General features: G+C 53.3%; 1 protein-coding gene across 8 annotated transcripts in view, besides 4 other annotated features; it reads right to left on the minus strand.

Annotated features, from left to right (window-relative positions):
• NUP210 (nucleoporin 210) overlaps positions 1 to 17,373 on the minus strand; it is a 104,088-nt gene that overhangs the window by 22,505 nt on the left and 64,210 nt on the right. The window contains exons 17-25 of one of the 8 annotated variants that reach the window (NM_024923.4): positions 15,176 to 15,368; positions 14,815 to 14,921; positions 13,341 to 13,445; positions 13,140 to 13,241; positions 4,436 to 4,564; positions 3,257 to 3,384; positions 3,009 to 3,144; positions 1,497 to 1,559; positions 1,115 to 1,294 (exon numbers count right to left, since the gene is read on the minus strand). In NM_024923.4, the coding sequence (NP_079199.2) occupies positions 1,115 to 1,294; positions 1,497 to 1,559; positions 3,009 to 3,144; positions 3,257 to 3,384; positions 4,436 to 4,564; positions 13,140 to 13,241; positions 13,341 to 13,445; positions 14,815 to 14,921; positions 15,176 to 15,368 (1,143 nt within the window). The other 7 variants (XM_047447797.1, XM_047447795.1, XM_047447796.1 and 4 more) reach the window with 7 other exon arrangements.
• Positions 7,116 to 7,997: an enhancer, noted in NCBI's record as "H3K27ac-H3K4me1 hESC enhancer chr3:13387355-13388236 (GRCh37/hg19 assembly coordinates)". NCBI's record gives its function as "activates a minimal SCP1, AML or CMV promoter by ChIP-STARR-seq in naive H9 embryonic stem cells {active_cell/tissue: H9 hESC(naive)}" and the evidence as "EXISTENCE:reporter gene assay evidence [ECO:0000049][PMID:30033119]".
• Positions 7,998 to 8,881: an enhancer, noted in NCBI's record as "OCT4-NANOG-H3K27ac-H3K4me1 hESC enhancer chr3:13388237-13389120 (GRCh37/hg19 assembly coordinates)". NCBI's record gives its function as "activates a minimal SCP1, AML or CMV promoter by ChIP-STARR-seq in naive and primed H9 embryonic stem cells {active_cell/tissue: H9 hESC(naive and primed)}" and the evidence as "EXISTENCE:reporter gene assay evidence [ECO:0000049][PMID:30033119]".
• Positions 8,882 to 9,764: an enhancer, noted in NCBI's record as "H3K27ac-H3K4me1 hESC enhancer chr3:13389121-13390003 (GRCh37/hg19 assembly coordinates)". NCBI's record gives its function as "activates a minimal SCP1, AML or CMV promoter by ChIP-STARR-seq in primed H9 embryonic stem cells {active_cell/tissue: H9 hESC(primed)}" and the evidence as "EXISTENCE:reporter gene assay evidence [ECO:0000049][PMID:30033119]".
• Positions 10,648 to 11,530: an enhancer, noted in NCBI's record as "NANOG-H3K27ac-H3K4me1 hESC enhancer chr3:13390887-13391769 (GRCh37/hg19 assembly coordinates)". NCBI's record gives its function as "activates a minimal SCP1, AML or CMV promoter by ChIP-STARR-seq in naive H9 embryonic stem cells {active_cell/tissue: H9 hESC(naive)}" and the evidence as "EXISTENCE:reporter gene assay evidence [ECO:0000049][PMID:30033119]".

Here is a 17,373-nt window from a genome sequence, read left to right on the forward strand (position 1 = left end):
CAGAACATGCCTTTCAGATAGGGCTCGTGGTGCAGCCCCTCCACCTGCCAAGGACCACCAGGGCCTTTCCCCAGCACCTCCCCAACCTGCCAGATGGGGGACCTAGAAGGGAGGGTGCCCAGCAAGGTTAGACCACAAAGACAAGGAATACGCAGGGCCCTGTGCCCCTCTTGCTGAATTTCTAGCCAGCTGCCCTTTACCTACGCCCTCAGGAGAAAAATCAGCCAGCTCCTGAGGCTGCACTCCTTTTTAGAGAAAAAAAACCACAGAGTCTCCTGTGGTCTGGAATGTCACGCTCCAGGAAGCCCATCTGAACCCTACCCCATCCCCAGGACAGGTTTTTACATCCCCAAGTCTTTCTCTTTGTCTTCATAATTGACACACACTGGGAAAAGGAGTAAATCAATGAACTCAATGACGGATCACAGTCAGCCTCTGAGAACAAGCATTTCCCTGCACCCCCTCTAGGGCGGTGCACTTGCCAGCTTCTGGGGTGCTGTGTTTACAGGTTCTGAACTCAGGACTGCACGGACTGCTTCCAGGGGACCTAGTTCTCATGAGGAATGGTATGACTGACTCTGAAACAGGTTTCTGTCCACAGTTGCATTACACATCACAGAAGGCTCTTCTTACAGACCAGGTTTCTGGCGCAGCTGTGAGTGGAACCCCAAAGCAGCCTTCCGAGATGCTTCTGCAAGTCACTGCTGGCGAAGGAGGTCAGGGAGAATGCAAAGGCCCTGATTTTAGCCCTGAGCCTTGAGAGGATTCAAGGAGATGAAGGCAAAGTGCTCAGAGCAGCATCTGCCTTCACCATGATTGCCATCATCCTCCACTGGAAGGGCCCTTTGGGGCCGGGAGTTGCTGAACACCCTGTCCCATAAGGAGCAGCTGGAAGGACTGGGAGACTCAGCTTGGAGAAGAACAACCAATGGGGGTCTGGGTGCTCCCATATTGGCAGGGCTGTCCTGCACCAGGGCCCCTGCAGTGACTGCAGACCCAGGGGGCAGAAGCAGCACCCTTGGAGAGGGGTGGTCCTCAGAGGTAGAACTCAAACACAGTAAAGAGGCTTCTGTCCCAGGCACAGCTGCCCAGTCTCCAATAGCACGCCTGTTACCTGAGAGATGATGACCACCTTGCCGGTCTCTGCATCCACTGCCTGCACGAGCCCAGACACAGTGCCGTTCCCGATGGCGAGGCCCTGTACCAGCCCAGCAGCGCTCACCAGCGCAACGCTCTCATTGCTGATGGAGAAAAGGATGTTGGACTGAGGCTGGGGGCCGCCCTCGGAGGTGACCTGAGCGGGGAGGAAACAGCGGCGTGTCAGTGCCCGTCATGCCAGGCAGCCCGCACCTCCCACTCAGAGAGCCAGGGCCCCAGTGCAGGCAGCTTCTGCCTTCTTCTCCCAGTCACTGCACGCAGGGCCAGAGGCGGCGTGCCTGGAACCAGGTGGTGGCCTGCACTGGGGCTGGAGCAGGACGTGGCCTCTTGGCTCTCACCTGCATCGTGGCCCCGATAAGCAGTGTCACCTTCCTGGGCATCAGCCTGAACGGGGGAAAGACCTGTTGAGAGACACAGGAGAGAAAGGACTACTGTGCCCCAAGCCCATGGCGCCAAGCATAACTCACACACTACATGTTTCATGAGAGGAAAACCTGGGACATGGACATCACTTCTCTCTGAGCAGTGACCAGAGGGCCCAGGGTCCTGGGCCAATGCTGGGGGCTGTCTCCCAGCCACTGGCCGAGGCTCCCTGGTTCTCTGGGGTGTGTTCTTCTGTTTGTGACTGTGTTTCACTTTCCCTAGATGTTAAAACCCAAAAGCTGGGCCGTCCCCTTGGAGGGATGGCTTTTATGCAGTTGAGCCATCCCCTTAGAGCAGCGGTTCTCAGTGTGTGGTCACTAAGCAGCAATGTCAGCAGCGCCTGGGGACACATTAGCAATGTACAGCCCCAGCCACCTGGCCTGTGGAGCCAGGGGTGGCCCCACAGGACAGCCCTGCCGATATGGGAGCACCCAGACCCCCAGAGGTTGCTCTTCTAGCACACCCTCCGGATTAGCCTGGGAGGAGACCAGGGACGTTGGTGCCACTCTTTGCAGCAGGTGAAGCCCCCACCTGCTCCTCCTGAAACCCCTACAAGAGCCTGCCTGGCAAGAGTAGGTGAGTGGACGCAGGAGGTGGCCAGGGTGCTACTTGTGTGGGAGTATCGGTCTCTGTAGCTGTGCTATTGATGGGCAGAAACAAATTTCTCATCACCAGAAGAAAGGTGCACCTCCATCTAGAGACACAGATGGCACCCACCTGCTTCGGATCACAGATTAATGACGCTCACCAGCCCCCGAGTGGCCCGGATGCAGGGTGGATGCTGGCAGGGCTGGTTTAATGCCGCTGCTGTGAATAGACTTAAAACAATGCCTGGGCCACAACTGCCATGGCCTGTGGCTGCAGTGGGGCTCCTGTCATAACCTAATGCCCCGAGACAGCCCCATACCACACACTGAGCTGGTGTGGGGACCTCAAAGCTCCCTTCATCCAGGAATCACCTACTTCAGGAGTTCCCTTTATGATACCTCTGCTCACGCAGCCCCTGTGACAGGTGCCCACTGCCCTCGAAGTGCCTGTTCTAAGGCTCAGGACCAATGGTTAAGGAGTTCTTCTACACATGAGTCAGCATCTGTCTAAGCTTCCACCCAGTCAGTGCTTTCTGGGAATAGTCCTGGTGTGTCCCCTTGCCATGTGACCAGGCACACCCCTTCTCTGAGCCACACAATCCCCCAAGTCACAGAGGAAAGGTCAAGTCACTTGGCCCCCTCCCTCTGGTTCTGCCAGTCTAACTTTGCTGCCTCCCAGATCCCTAGAGCTCGTAACAGCTGCCTTTTGATGAGAGGACATTGTGGGACACAGATTTTTATATGGCTTCTCTACAGTAGCTTCCTGGACTGTACTATAAAGACACTCCCAACCCCCAGCACTGGGCTGATCCCACATGGTGTGGGAAGAACTCGTCTTACTTCAATCTGTTGTGGGGCTGAGTTGATTCTCTGTCCAGCTTTATTGGTCACACTTGCAGTTAGACTGGTCTGGCCGATGGCCACACCGCGGATGAGGAATGTGATGGTGTAGTTGTCAAGGGCTTCATCAAGGGCCCTGAAACAGAGGGAAGGGCTGGGACTTCTCCAAGACCACCCCGTGGGAAAGGCTGCAGCTGGGGTCAGCACTGTCTCTGAGGTGCCCTCCTCTGACCCCTAGGAGAACTCACACCAATGTAATGATCGGGGAGGCTGCTCGGAGCTTCAGGTCCATAAAGGGGAAGTATTTGGCAAGGAAGGGCTTCTTGTGCAAGTCCAGCACGCGGACGTATGCCTTCACTGTCTTCCCAATCTCCACCTGCATCATGGGGACAGAGGTTCAGGGGCAGCCTCCAAAAGACCAATCCTACCATCTATGGTGCTCCGTGACTTTCTGAGATAGCATCACTAACCTCAACCCACAGACCTGGGAATCAGGAGAGTCACCCAGGTTGACTTCTGGACTATCAGCCAGTCAGCAAATGAAAATCGATGAGGGGGAGCTTGGGGATACTTAGAGGCATAAATTCCACATTCTACTCTTAAGTAACTAATACACTAATTAGGGAGATGAGACACCACTTAGAACAGCAGCATCCAGTAGGAGCTCAATAAATGCTCACTGACTGAACAGCTCACACCTGGCAGTGTATAATACAGTAAGAACTTTAGGAAATAAGAATCAGAAATACACAGCGAAGAAACAGATGATTAGCAAACAGCAGTGGAAATGAGATTATACAAGGAGTATGTGAGGCTGGGTACAGCATATTAGCTTCTTAAGGAGCCTAAGCCACATGAACACTCCCCTTTTAATTACCAGCCCTTCTATCCACTGAGGAACCTGACCGCAACCCTCTGGAAGCCCAGCTTCAGTCACCTCAGATATCTGGAGTAATAAAAATTCTGTATCAGTGTGAAAGATAAACCGAGATCTATCCCTTGTCTCTTTTTGCAATGGCGCTTGGCATGGGTGAGTTGTACTCATTTGCCACTGACACCCCAGTGAACCCAAAACCTATATTCTGGGAAGAAAATACATGCTCAGCAGGGCATGTGCCTCGTTGGTTAATAACCTACACCAGCCAGAAGACATGAATTCCCAGGTCATGGCTAATTTAGAGACAGCAGGATTTACTGCCAAGCCTCATGGGTATGTCATCTGGGATGAAGAAGTCCCTTACTGAAGGGACTCTGGATCCTCCACATGGAGCGAAGGAGATGGGAGACAGCTCCGCAAGCTCACAGGGGAAGGGATGCAGACCACAGGAGCAAAAGCAAAGGCCATGCGGAACATTCCTCCCACAGTCCCCTCCCTCCCAGTTCCTGCAGGTCAGCCGAGGGTGCCCCGTCATGAAGCTTCCACTGACCTTGTCAACCACACGGATGTACAGCTCCTGAATGTCCGACACGTAAACGACAGCCTTGGCTGGGGCCGGGAAGACGAGGCACAAGTCATGGATCATGATGGTGGATGAGCCCGGGAGCAAAGGGTGCACCTGCAAGGTTGGGGCGGAGGTGGAGGGGTGGGTGGTGGGTTACGCAGCTGCAGGGCCCCCCTCTGCTCAGGTTTGTGAGCAGTGCCTCGCCCTCAGCACCAGCCTATCACCTCATGGGATGCCAGTGGCAGAGCCCGCCAGGCCAGCACTGGGAAGCAGTGGACAAGGGAAATCACCCCAAGTAGTGCCCTGCCCACCTCTCGTCATGAGCCCCACTGCTGGCCAGGAGATGGGCTTGGGATATAACACATTAGTGCCAGGCTGGATCTCACAGAGCATTGATCTCCACTTGCACATTTTACAAAGAGAAGAAAATGGAAGCTGCTCCAAGGGGGCCAGTCAGCAGCCTTGGGACGTGCACCAACTTGAGGGCAGAGTGAGGATGCAGTCCCAGGATGCCACATCCTGAGCTGGCCACCTGCTGCTGCAGCCCTGGTGCTAGAGAAGCACCCCATGGGGTCTTCTGTGAAACCGCAAGTCAGGGGCTGGCAGAAAACGAGGCAGATGCTTTCCCACGGCAGCTTGCACAGGAAGTCCCAATCAGACTGATGGAACCACAGAGCCTGGGAGTGACCCGCAAGGCCACCCCAGTGTGAGCTATGTGCATCTCGCTCATCTTTGTGTCTCATCACATCCCTAGCTCTGTGTGAAGCAGTGACTGCCAAGGTGTTGTGAGTGAATGAACAAATCAGAGCTAGTTTTTTCCAGCCTTTTCACTGCCAGAGACCCTTTTAACATTTGTTTATTTTATTTATTATTTTTAGAGACAGGGTCTCACTCTGTCCCCAAGGCTGGAGTGCAGTGACGGGATCACAGCTCACTACAACCTCAAACTCCTGGGCTCAAGGCAAGAGCCCACCTTTTAATCCTTTTCTCTCTACCCACTTTTAGGGATTCTACCTTTAAGACTCTCCCCTAAGAAAGTGCATCACAATCACCCTTTCATGCTGCAGAAGATGGGCATTCACACAAGTAACATGTCTGTTTATGATGGAATTCATACAGCTTGTCTTACTACTTAGGCGCATATTTCAGTCAGGTGGTCCTGGAGCTGGGCAAGTAGGGACAGGCCATGAGGCGAGTCCAGCAGGCTGCCCCACTCCTCTATCTGGGCCTGGCTTTGTTGCTTGCTCTTTGTGGTCTCATATTCATGGGGTGGGGAGCAAGAGGTTTTAAAGTAAGCACTTCAGGGTTTGCAAAGCTAGAGTTTCAATATCAAGAAGCTACAAAAAAATAAAAAATAAAAATAAATAAAATAAAAATAAAGTTTCTGACCCAAAGGTGACAACCAAATAGGATCACATCACTCCCAACATCAACCCCTCAACAGCTGCCCAGTGCTCTGAGAATGAGCTCAAAGCCTTACCACGCCCTGTAAAGCCTGGTATGGCCTGGCTCCTGCCTCCACTCCAGATTCCATGCACATCACCCTCCCCCACTACACTTACGCTCCAGCCACGCAGGCCTTCTCTCCCACTCATACAGACAGCTTGCTGCTGCCTGCCTCCGGGCCTCGCAGCCCACCTTAAAGACCTGGACTCTTTCCCCAGCCTCCACCTGCTGGCTCCAAGTCATCCTCCAGGCCCAGGTCCAGCGTCCTTCCTCAGAACAGTCTTCCTGCATCCACGTCAGCTCCTCCAGCACCTCTTCTCCCCTCTTCTGGGGGCTGGTCCTGCCGGGTGCCATCAGTGTTGATGGGACCCACAGTGCACTTGGCCTTCCCCTCCAGGCTGTCCCTAGCACTCACATGCCCTCGGGACTCAGCCCAGCATCTGGTACAGCCTAGCCTCCTACGAGCACATCTTGATTGGATGAAGATCCAGGGCCGCTGCTCTGAGTAATTCTGGATAAGGTCATGGAACCTGGTGCTCCAGCCTGCTCAGCTTTACAGAGTAAAACCAGCTTTGTTAAGACTTGGAAATTCTGAAAATCACCTGCAACCCTCATGGACCTTCACTTATTTGGAAAGTGCTGATTCTGGTCCAACCACTTCAATGTGCAAATGAGTTAACTGAGGCCCAGATGATGGGACAGGGATATGGCTTTGAAAAGGCAGAGCTGGGGATAGAACCAAATACCCTAACTCCCAGTTTAGGCTCCTCCTCCGACTCTCCACTTCCCAGGAGAATGGGGCTGGAGGCCTCCTGCAGCCAGAACGGAACTGCGGGGCTGGGGAGGAGGGAGAGTGGACAAAAGCAAAGGCCTAGCTGAGAAGAGCCCAAGCCCACAGCTGGCTGGGGGCACGGAGGATCAACGAGCTGGCCCGAGCTGCACACACCACCCGTGTAATGATGGGTACATCAATACAGACAAAGCATGCCTGGGTTATTCCACACAATGACTTACAGTAGATGAATAAAGATCCCGGAGTGGACATCACACTTACACTACAAAACAATAGCTTTGTGACTGGAGCCATTGCCACATGAGCCTGGTGTCAAGTATGGGCTGAGGAGCAGGGTCCAGGAGCCACCAGGTTTCTGGTTTTGCTGGGGCTGATTGACCCCAGGTTATTACATTTCTCTCAAAGAAAACTCATTGAAAAATTACAGAGAGTAATGACAGCTTTCTTTGAGAACCCAATTTAAGGCTCCAACCTGAAACTCCTACTGTAGTTACTGCTGTCAGGAGTGGGCAGGTCCTTCACAATGTGAAGAAATTCCATAGTGCACCGACTGCGGAGCCCCACGCAGGGCAACACAGGGCAATGCAGGGAAGGGCTTTTTCTCTTTTTTCCTCCTTTAAAAGAACCATCTTGCACATTTTAAACAGAGACATAAAATGGCAGTGGGGAAATCAATTGCTCTTCCACTCGATTTCCCAGGGGATGGGCATCCAGCTACCATCTCTGGAGCCCTCGAAGCGTGGCCTGCCCCTCAGGCTGGTGCACAGCAGCTAAATGCACCCCACAGCGATGCTGTAAGGGCGTGCCCACCAGGCCACTCTGGAGGCTTGGGTAATGGAGGGCACTTGGCCGCTAGCTGGTGGCAGAGTGAGACCCTGCACCCACTCCTAACTACACTGTGCATGCAGCTCACACCACACAGCTTCTCCATGCATTCTGGACACACCTGCTTCCTGATTGACACATGGGAGAATGTTTGCGAGGGGAAAGAGGTAGTGGTGACCCATGCCCAGGATGAATTTTAATTTCTGAGTGTTGAAGGTGCCACCTGAGAACATTGGGAAACACTGAGCCAAGAGGAAAGTTCTGTCAAGTCAGAGATGACAAATGTGTCATTGCTCATTAAGATGCTGAGTGCAGCCAGAGGCAGCTCTGTGCATGTGGGGGCTGAAACTGTCAAATACCTCGGAGCTTGCCAGGCCCCAAGGCTCTGCCCACATCATCTCGGTCCCCGCTTCCTGGAGCCCTGATCACATTTCAGATTTGTCCCGACAGGTGGCGACTGCAGGGGATAAGGGACCTTGCAGCTATTTTTGAATGTCACTGGAGTCATCGGCTTCCATTTCCTGCAGGCTGCTTGTCAACGTCACGTGATGGGCCAGGAAGTGCCAAGCGAGTGTGCCCCTGATTACCCGCCCTCAAGGCAAGCAGGGAAGGACCTAAGCTCACATGAAAATCACAGGCACTGAGTGGGGCCCTGGCCTGGGTGCTGGATGAAACTTCACACAGGGACCCGGCCAGCCCTGTGACCTTCCCAAGGGCGAGGACTGGGGACGTGCACCACTGTCCACAGATCAGTCTCAGGGAAAAGGTGGATGCACCTGACTTCAGGCCCTGCAATTGCCACCCACTCCCCACTCATCCTGGACACATGTCCTCACCTGAACAATGGCCCCATGACGGGCTGCGCCTCACAGGACCCAGGAGATGGAGAGAAGCAGCCGCAGCTCATAGGACCCAGGAGATGGAGAGACACAGCTGCGGCTCACAGGAGCTGGGCCCCCCGGCTTCATTCCCTCCTGAATCCGCAGTGCTTAACACAGCACCTGGCACACGATAAGCACTCCAGCGTCTCTGAGTGCACGAGTTAATGGGAAATGTAAAGTGCCCAGCAGGCTCCTTCCCCTGCTCTGGTCATCTCATGGGTTCCGCCTAGAGGACTTGATTGAAATGTAAAGAATCGTTGAAAAGAAGGAAAACTTAGGCTTAAATCGGATAAACACTCCTATGTGCAAACCAGCCGAAAACAAAATAAAGGCCCTTACAGAGCGTTCTGGGGCTGTGTGAGCAAAATTCATCACGGCCCTGCACAGTCCATGTCCACTGTGTGGGGATAAAAACCCCCACAGGACCCCTGCTGCGTGAGCCCCAGAGAGCCCCCCAGAGACACTCCAAAGCCACACATTCCCGCAAGCCATCCTTCCGTGCTGAATATGTATCAACAGGAAGGAAAGAAACCCTTTCTCTGAGCTAACTGGGGAGCGCTGGGGGCTTGTCTATCTCTGTGCTGCTGCTCTGCAGCTGGAAAAAGCCACAGCCACGAGTAGACATCCCTCGGAAACAGTCGCCTGCAACTGTTTCTGAAGCAACCAGGACTTGCTGCTGACGTCAATACTCCCTGGAAAATTCCTCCTGCAGGCTTCAGAAGAGACCAGAGGAACCAGGGCCTGATTGGAGTTGCGAGAGTCTTTGGCACAAGCCTGAAATGAAGGGAGGTGAAGACCCCAGTGGGCAGGGCGCCTCCATGGAAGGAAACTTCTGGACCAGAGCAGTTCGCAGGGCCTGTGGCACGGGCTGCTGCTTGCCATAGGGGAGACTCGTCCCGGGTCCTGCCTGCAATGGGCACTCTGTGCCACTCAACCAGGCCAGCGGCCATTCCACAATTCAGAAAGAGAGTGCCAGAGCTCCCCTGTGGCCACCTGTAAAACAGAACTGCAGAGGCACTCCTAGAATTGCAGCATTTTAGGATTCAAGAGGGGTTTAAAGGTCTCCTGGGGAAACTTGACTCCCATGCTGGAATCCCACCTTGAGTCTTTCAGACAAGTGTCCCAGCTTCTGCTCAAATGCCTCCAGAGACAGGGAGCTCACTACCTACAGCGGCAGCCTAGTCCATCACCGACCTCTAGGAACTCTTGTTCTTGGAGTAAAGGTCTCCCTCTGGTCACAAGTCCACCCTCAGAGCTTGCACAGAATGACAGGTGCAAGGTAAATGTGAATGAGAGTGTGCCTCGGTTTCACTGGCACTGTACACATTTTTCCCTAACTTGGAACTCCCCTCTTCTTGGTAATGGGGAAGTTTTTATTAATTTCCAAAAATAAACAAAACAAGGCATATGTCAAGCAGTCAGAATTAAGATGTAAGATTCTCTTCACTCGCATGGCTGGAGGAAGAGCTGGGGAATTGTTCTTTCTTCTATGAGGGGATAAGAATGCTTAGGAGACGCTGCTTGTGGTCTCAGGCTCCTCGCCTCCTCCAGTGTCCTCCAACCACAAGCATGTCCCCAGCTGCTGAGGGCGTCCTGCCATCCAAGGGTCTGCCTCTGAGAAGAACAGGAACAGTGGGACTCCCTCCCCCTCCTTGAGGCACGGCGCTGAGAAAACATCCTCTTTGCAAGACAGCTGGAGACCAACATCAAACGCTGAAGGAAGGTTTTCGAAAACACCCCAAACACCAAACAAAAAAACTGAATTAAAAAACTTATTAAACAGGGGGTGTTTCACACAAAAATAGAGATCTCTATTTTCTCTTGAAAATCAGAAGCTCTTGCCTCACAGGCCCACACCCCCACACATCAAAAAACAGCCGGAGGTGCCAGTTCTGCAGGACAGTGTAAGGAGGCCACAGACTTCCCCATGAAACATACACACAGCCGTTTAAAATCTCTGGGATGATTCCAAGGGCAACAGCAAATGAAGAAGCATTTATTGGAGAAAGCCTGCTGACATCTGGGAAGAACAAGGGCCTGTGGTGCGTGAAATAAGATGCCCATCCTCCCTGACCTCCCACCCCAGTGAGCGGGGCTCCGCTCCATACTGGTTCCTCCAAGATCACAGGACTCCCTCACCCCCAGCTCTCGGTCAGGTGATTCGTTTCCTAGGAGGGGCAGGATGTCAGCTTTTCTTTTCTTACCATGCCCCCAGCTACAGCTTGCTGAGACTGAGTCCCAGGAAAGTGGGCTCAGAGGTGGGGGCTCTCATCTTCCACCCAGAACCCATTCGTGGGATGGAGGCTCTGCCTTGGGTGCGGCACCCGTGAGAATACTGGGGCCCGGCTGCCCTTCCCTGGCTCATGGGGTGGGGTTCCCTGCTAAGAGAGGCCAGCCAAGGAACACTGGAGCTGCTGCCCCACTCACCAAGGACCCAGCTCCTAACGTGCAGGTGTCACCAGAGAGAGATGCACCACTGTGCCCAGCACCATAGCTCTGGCTCAGAGAGTTTGCCTGGGAAAGCAGCTGGTGCACAGCAACTAAATGCACCCAGAAAACAGGTGTGAGTTGCTCCTGAAGGAACTGACTTCATGCGCAACAGAGCTCGGAGAAGTCCAAGCCTAAGCACACTCTCCAAAACACTGCAAGTTGTGCTGAAAGGCAACTGGGAGGTGACGGAGAGCCTGGGAGGTGTGGGCTACACTGGAGGCCGGCAAGTTTGCCAGAGACAAACGGAAAAAGAGAGAGGTAGGAAGAGCTCTCCTGGGGTCAGAACAAACCTTAAACATCTTCTAGGGAAAGGGTCCCTTCAAAGGATCCTGAATAGGATTGGACTGAGTTGTGTAGGAATGTGTGCCCCAGGGAATTACTGAAGACAGTGGAGCAATCAGCCTCAATTAGTGCAGCTCAACAGTTGAGTGGTCAGTGAAAGACAGCCAAAAAAAGCCCTGCAAAGGCCACAGTCATCCCAGAGTGACAAAGGACATACCAAGGTGTTATCCCCTAAGAGCAGTATCAGAGACTTCTTACTGGGGAAAAGTGTGTGTGTGTGGGTGCGTGTGTGTTCAGCAAAATAACACAGCCTGTGTGTGTGTGTGTTCAGCAAAATAACACAGCCTGTGTGTTTGTGTGTGTGTGCGCGTGTGTTTTTGTGTCTTCAGCAAAATAACAAGGCCAGTCACTAAAGAAGTAAACAAGCAAATAATAATAACAAGCTCCAGCATGGGGATGGGGAATCAGTACCCAGAGTTTCTACAATACATTACCTAAAATGTCCAGTTTCCAACAATTATAGGACATGAAAAAACAAAACAAAACAAAACAAAACAAAACAAAACAAAACAAAAAACAAAACAAAACAGGAAAACATGACCCGTACTCCAGAAAAAAGGCAGATGACAGAAACTGTCTGTGAGGGCCACCAGAGATCAGATTCACCAGGCAAAGCCTTCCAACCAAACAACGATGAAGGGAGTAAAGGAAGATTTGATAACAATCTCATATCAAACAGCGAATATCAATAAAGGGGAAAAGTTACAGGAAAAAAAATAGAAATTCTTTTTTTTTTTTTTTTTTTGAGATGGAGTCTCGCCCCGTCGCCCAGGCTGGAGTGCAGTGGCGCAATCTTGGCTCACTGCAAGCTCCACCCGCTGGGTTCACGCCATCTCCTGCCTCAGCCTCCCGAGTAGCTGGGAATACAGGCGCCCGCCACTACGCCTGGCTAATTTTTTTTTTTTGTATATTTAGTAGAGACAGGGTTTCACCGTGTTAGCCAGGATGGTCTCAATCTCCTGACCTTGTGATCAGCCTGCCTCGGCCTCCCAAAGTGCTGGGATTACAGGCATGAGCCACCGCACCCGGCCAGAAATTCTTAAATTGAAAAGTATAACAGCTGAAATGAAAAATTCACTAGAAGCGCACAAGAGTAGATTTAAACTGGCAAAAGAAAGCATTAGCAAACTTGAAGATGGACTGCCAGCTTACATTAGCAACACGCAAAAACATAAAAACTTAAAATAACATAATAAAAGCAGAACATTAAATTCTTCCATGCCATGAGCACAGCTAAAGTCAATGCTTGCAAGAGTAGGGAGAGGGTCAAGAGAGAAACACAGGAAAAATAGAGAAAGGTGAGACATCTTTTAAAAGCAATTTTCTTTATGGCTGTTACAGTGCTCCTTATGGAATAATATTTTAATCTTAAAGGATTGATTGAAAGGAAACCATTAGGTAACTAACAGTTTGTGGACAGGGAATACAAATCACAAAGGTTTCATGAGAATGACTAAAGTTGTAGAATGAATCAGAGAATCTAAAGACCTTGCTAATTATAGCTAATGTGATTAAGTGCCAGCTTTTTTTTGGAGACAGGGTCTGGGTTTCTCACCCAGGTCTGTTGCCCAGGCTGGAGCATGACCACTGCTCAATGCACCCCTCAACCTCCGGGGCTCAAGCAATCCTCCTGCCTCAGGTTCCTGTGTAGCTGGGACCACAGGCCTGTGCTACCATGCCCAGCTAATTTTTGATTTTTCTTTTTTTTTTTGTAGAGATGGGGGTCTCACTATATTGTCCAGGCTGGTCTTGAACTCCTGGGCTCAAGTGATCTTCCTGCCTTGACCTCCCAAAGTTCTGGGATTCCGAGTGTGAGTCAAGTGCTAGCTTTCAAAATGATCAATCAATTAACCACACAACAGCCCAGATAAGGAATGAAAACCAACAGTGGGGACCGATGGCCCAAGCTTACCATGGCGACACCCCTGGCCTCCTGGTAGGCCACCTTGACAACATCTGCGGTGCTGGTGTTGAGGAAGAAGTAACCTGAGCCTTCCCTGATGCGGAGCTCTGCCTGCAGGAGGCAGATGCAGGGAGGGTTGGGCCGCATGTGGGAGGGCGAGGAGTCCCCCCGTGGGTCTTGCCCAGGAAGGTGGCAGGGCAAGGACTGTACCTGGATGCCAGGGTGGTTGTAGATGGTCACCTCTTCTGGGCTCACCCTCACGTCCTCCACCAGGATGAGCTCTATGGAGGCCGACAGAGGCACCAGAGGGTCATGCTGAAGGACAAGGGCAAGGCCATTAGATCCAGGAGGACATGATTAGGCTGCCCCTCGGGAAGAACAGGCCCAAAAGCCCTAGGGCCTGGCCTTGCTCCTGGCCACAAGCCCCTGGTGCTCCTGAGCCCAGCAGAATGGCCACAGACCCTTTGAGGTCTCCCTTCAGCCTCCTGAGGTGGAATGAGTTGCTGGCTCCTCCACTCCAGACTGAGGAGAGGGTTGGGAGCAATCCAGCTTAGAAGACGCCACCCCAACCCACCAGGCCCCAGTGGTGGGCAACTCACACACACGCCCTGCCTTGCAGGACCTCACAGCAAAGGGTCAGCTTCAGAGCATGTGGCCGCTGGCCAGGCCAGGCATCGGGGGAGGGTCCCCTGGAAGTGTGGCCAAGGCTGGCTCAGGAGAGGACAATGACAGCCCTCATCCCCTAGGGTGGCACATGACCCACTGAGCTCTGCTTCCCACCATGTGTCACACAAAGGAGCCACCCAGATCTGAGGCCCCCAGGAATCACGTGTTTGAGCACCTCCTCAGGGCCACAGGTGTGCCAGGCACTCGGGGTGCAGCAACTGCCGGCAGGGAGAGGCGACTCCAATGCACGGATGGAAGAGCAAGAGTGAGTCAATGACAGGAAGGTGTGCATTGTGGGTGACAAGGACAAGGAAGGTGTCTGCAAGGGAGAGCAGCTCTCAGGGGAACACAGACTGCAAGGGGAGGAAGCCTGAGTGACTCAGCTATGGGGGGTGGGGGGACATCAGGGCAGGGAGGAAGTGCAAAGTCATGGGGATAACATGTCAGGGTGCTCAGGCATCAGGCAGGAGGCCGTGACGCCCCCTCACTCCCAATCAAGGGAATCCTGGTGCCAGTGAGGACTGAGCCATCAGGTATAGGCACAGGTGTGCCCCTTCAGTGACCCCCTCCCTCCAGGCCAGCCTCCCCAGTGCTGCCCCCACGGGACCCCAGCCTCTTTCAAAGTTTGCTCCCAAGAGGACAATAGAAGTGCCTCATCCTGGCATTTAGGGACCATGGGAATACAGTTACAGTCCCACCTTCTCCTTCCAGCCTGTACCTGCTGCCTCCACCTTATTCAAGACCTAAGTTTCCTTGTGGCTGTACCCCCCATGAGGTGGCTGTCATCCAGGAAGGGCTATTCTTGAGAAGCCCTTCCCATTCCCACCTCCAATGTACCTATTGGTCCCCTACTATTAATAGCAGTGCCTCTCCTGGGGCCTCCAAGAGGCTGGGGTGGGGGAGTGGTGGTCAAGCAGACAGTGACTCAGGACACTGTGATACCCGGTGGAATTTAAGCAGAAGTAGGAGGCTTGCCCCGCTACCCATAGCCCACCCACCACTGGGCCCTGGGAGATACCGGCTGCTTTGTTCTGGCAGAGCTGAGGTGGGACTCCTGGTAGCCAGTGGCAGTGGCAGTGATGGCTGTGGTTCCTGATGCCTCGTGAACCAAAATGGCCTGCAAACCTGAGACCAGGAAGAAGGAAGCCACCGTTGGATGTCTGCCCATCACCACCCCTGAAGCAGCCCCTCCCTCCTTCTGATTTGCAGTTTCGAATCTGAAAACAGACAACTGTGTGTGTTGAAACTATGTGGATTGTAAGAGTTAACAGGATCTAAGCACAGATAACTAAGCTCCCACAGGCACTGGCCCACCTTGGCAGGCTTCCTGTCTGGTCTCTGTTCTCCTGCCTGGGCCATCAGGCTTGTGCCCAGCTCACCGTGCAGCTTCTTTTGGCCACTCTCATCGTCCTGGGACACCAGCTGCATGGGCAGCTCAGGCTCGATGCTGGCCAACACTGGCCTGGTGGACTCCCACTGGATGCTCAGAGAGCTGAAGTTGTCGAACCGGCGGCCCTCCTGGTCGTAAGCAGCCAGGTCCAGCCGGGGGTTGCGGTGGCTGGACACTGGGACCTGCAGGGAACACAGGTCAGATGTTGTGGTCACCCCCAGGACTGGACCTGGACACTGACCACGCAGTGCACTCTGAGGCCAGCAGCTGCCCTGTGGGCTCTTGGGGGTGCTGGTGAGGGAATGGGATATGCCAGAAAGCAATCCTCACTATTGCCACCCACCAGGTCCCCCCATGGCCCTGTCCAAGCTGGCCTCTGGCTCCAGACCACAGCTCTCAGTGGAATGAGAACCACTAGGGGGCCTTCAGCAACACTGGAGGCATTTCTGGCTGTCCCTACGCATGAGTCAGGGGGTTGCCACTGGCATCTACTCGGGAGAGGTCCATGATGCTGCTAAACACCCTACGATACACAGGACAGCCCCCCACAGGAACTATCTGGTCCCAAACGTCAACAGTGCTGAAGCTGGGAACCACCATCCTGACCTACTACTGTGGGCAGGCTGCTCTCCTTCCCCTCTGCCCTCACCTTCCCAAATGATTGCCATCCCCCACCCAGGCACATGTCGGTGCCTCTAGGATGGCCCCACTAGTGGTTTCACAGGAATGCAGATTTCAACGCCTAAGATGTCCCAGAGCTACTGGGTTTGTACAGCTCCTTTGAAAGTGGAATACTCGCCTAATCCTTAAATGTCCCAGGAAGGTGGAAGGGGTCATCCCCACGTGAAGGAAGCACAAGCCCAGTCAGGGAAAGGAGCTCATCCAAGGAGGTTCGCAATGGGAGCGCCAGGCTGCAGGTCCAAATCCTGGATTCCCACCACTCTGGGGTGATCTCTCGCTCCCCGAGCGGACTCTCCCCTTAGAAACCAGCTGAATCAAGCCTCTTTCCTGTGGGCTATCCCTCCCTTCTCTGGCCACATAGCATGGGGGCAGTGTGGGCTGGGCCATAAAGCAGAGGCCAAGTGTCTCTGACCCCACAACTTGGACTCAGCCCCAGCTCCACCTCTCAGTGCCCAGGCAAGTTATGAACTCCCTGAGCCTCAGTTTCTCCAGCTATGACACACAAAGCACAACTGAGGGATTTAAATATGGGGACTGCAAGGTCATTTTAGAGCCTTCCTACATTCGGGTAGGAAAGTGGGCAGCCATGAGCATCATTCACAAACAGGGCTAGTTTTCCATTCGGGGAGAGGGGGATCCTGCAGGAAGAACTACCCTTCTCTCATCCTCTGGTTAGAAGTGACTGAGGCACTTGTTCTGGCCAGTGAAATGGGACTAGGGGGAAGCTTCACTGCCAGATCCCGACCTGCCACATTCCCTTTCTCTCCACAGTGGCACCTGCCATGATCAACATGGTGGCTGCTCCACAGCCCATGTCTTGGAATGAAGATCACAATGACACAAAGCAGGTCTCCCAGCCAACTAGAGAGGCTCATGCAGCATGGGCAAGAGGTGAGCTTGTGCCATGTGAAGCTACGGGATGTGGGCTTGTTTGCCATGGCAGCCTGGCCAGGCCCCGCCTGCCTGACCGATACAGTCACAAAACACCCCACCTGCACCATGAGGGCTCCTCCCAACTCCTTCTAGCTCTCTTGCCCCAAGAGAACACTTGATTCAAGCAGGCTACAAATTCTTAATCCACACCCTGCTCTGAGTAGGCCAGCACCATCAGCAGGCATGCAAAGGTCTCATCATTATTCATAATATAGAAGCCGGGAGTTTGGGCAGGGGCTGTAGGGACCTATCCTAGGTGCTCCATGGCTCCCCCAGATGCAATCCTGGCTGGAAAACCAATGCTCCTCCAGGGAAGGAAATTGACACTGGCCAAGCACATGTGCAAGCTAACTGGCCCATTTGAGGCAACAACATAAGCCCCATATTACAAACAGGGAGGCTGAGGTCCAGGGACGTTAAATGTTGAATGACTTGTCCAAGGTCACACAGGTTTAGGGGTGGAACTCAGCTGGCCTGATTGTAGAGCCCAAGGACCTCCCCTGACTCAGTGTGGCCAATCTCTGGTGTCTCAATCTGGGGACAGCCCCATTCAAGCCCCTAATCAGTCCCATG

This window comes from Homo sapiens, chromosome 3 (assembly GCF_000001405.40).
Source record: "Homo sapiens chromosome 3, GRCh38.p14 Primary Assembly".
Classification (NCBI taxonomy): Eukaryota; Metazoa; Chordata; class Mammalia; order Primates; family Hominidae; genus Homo; species Homo sapiens.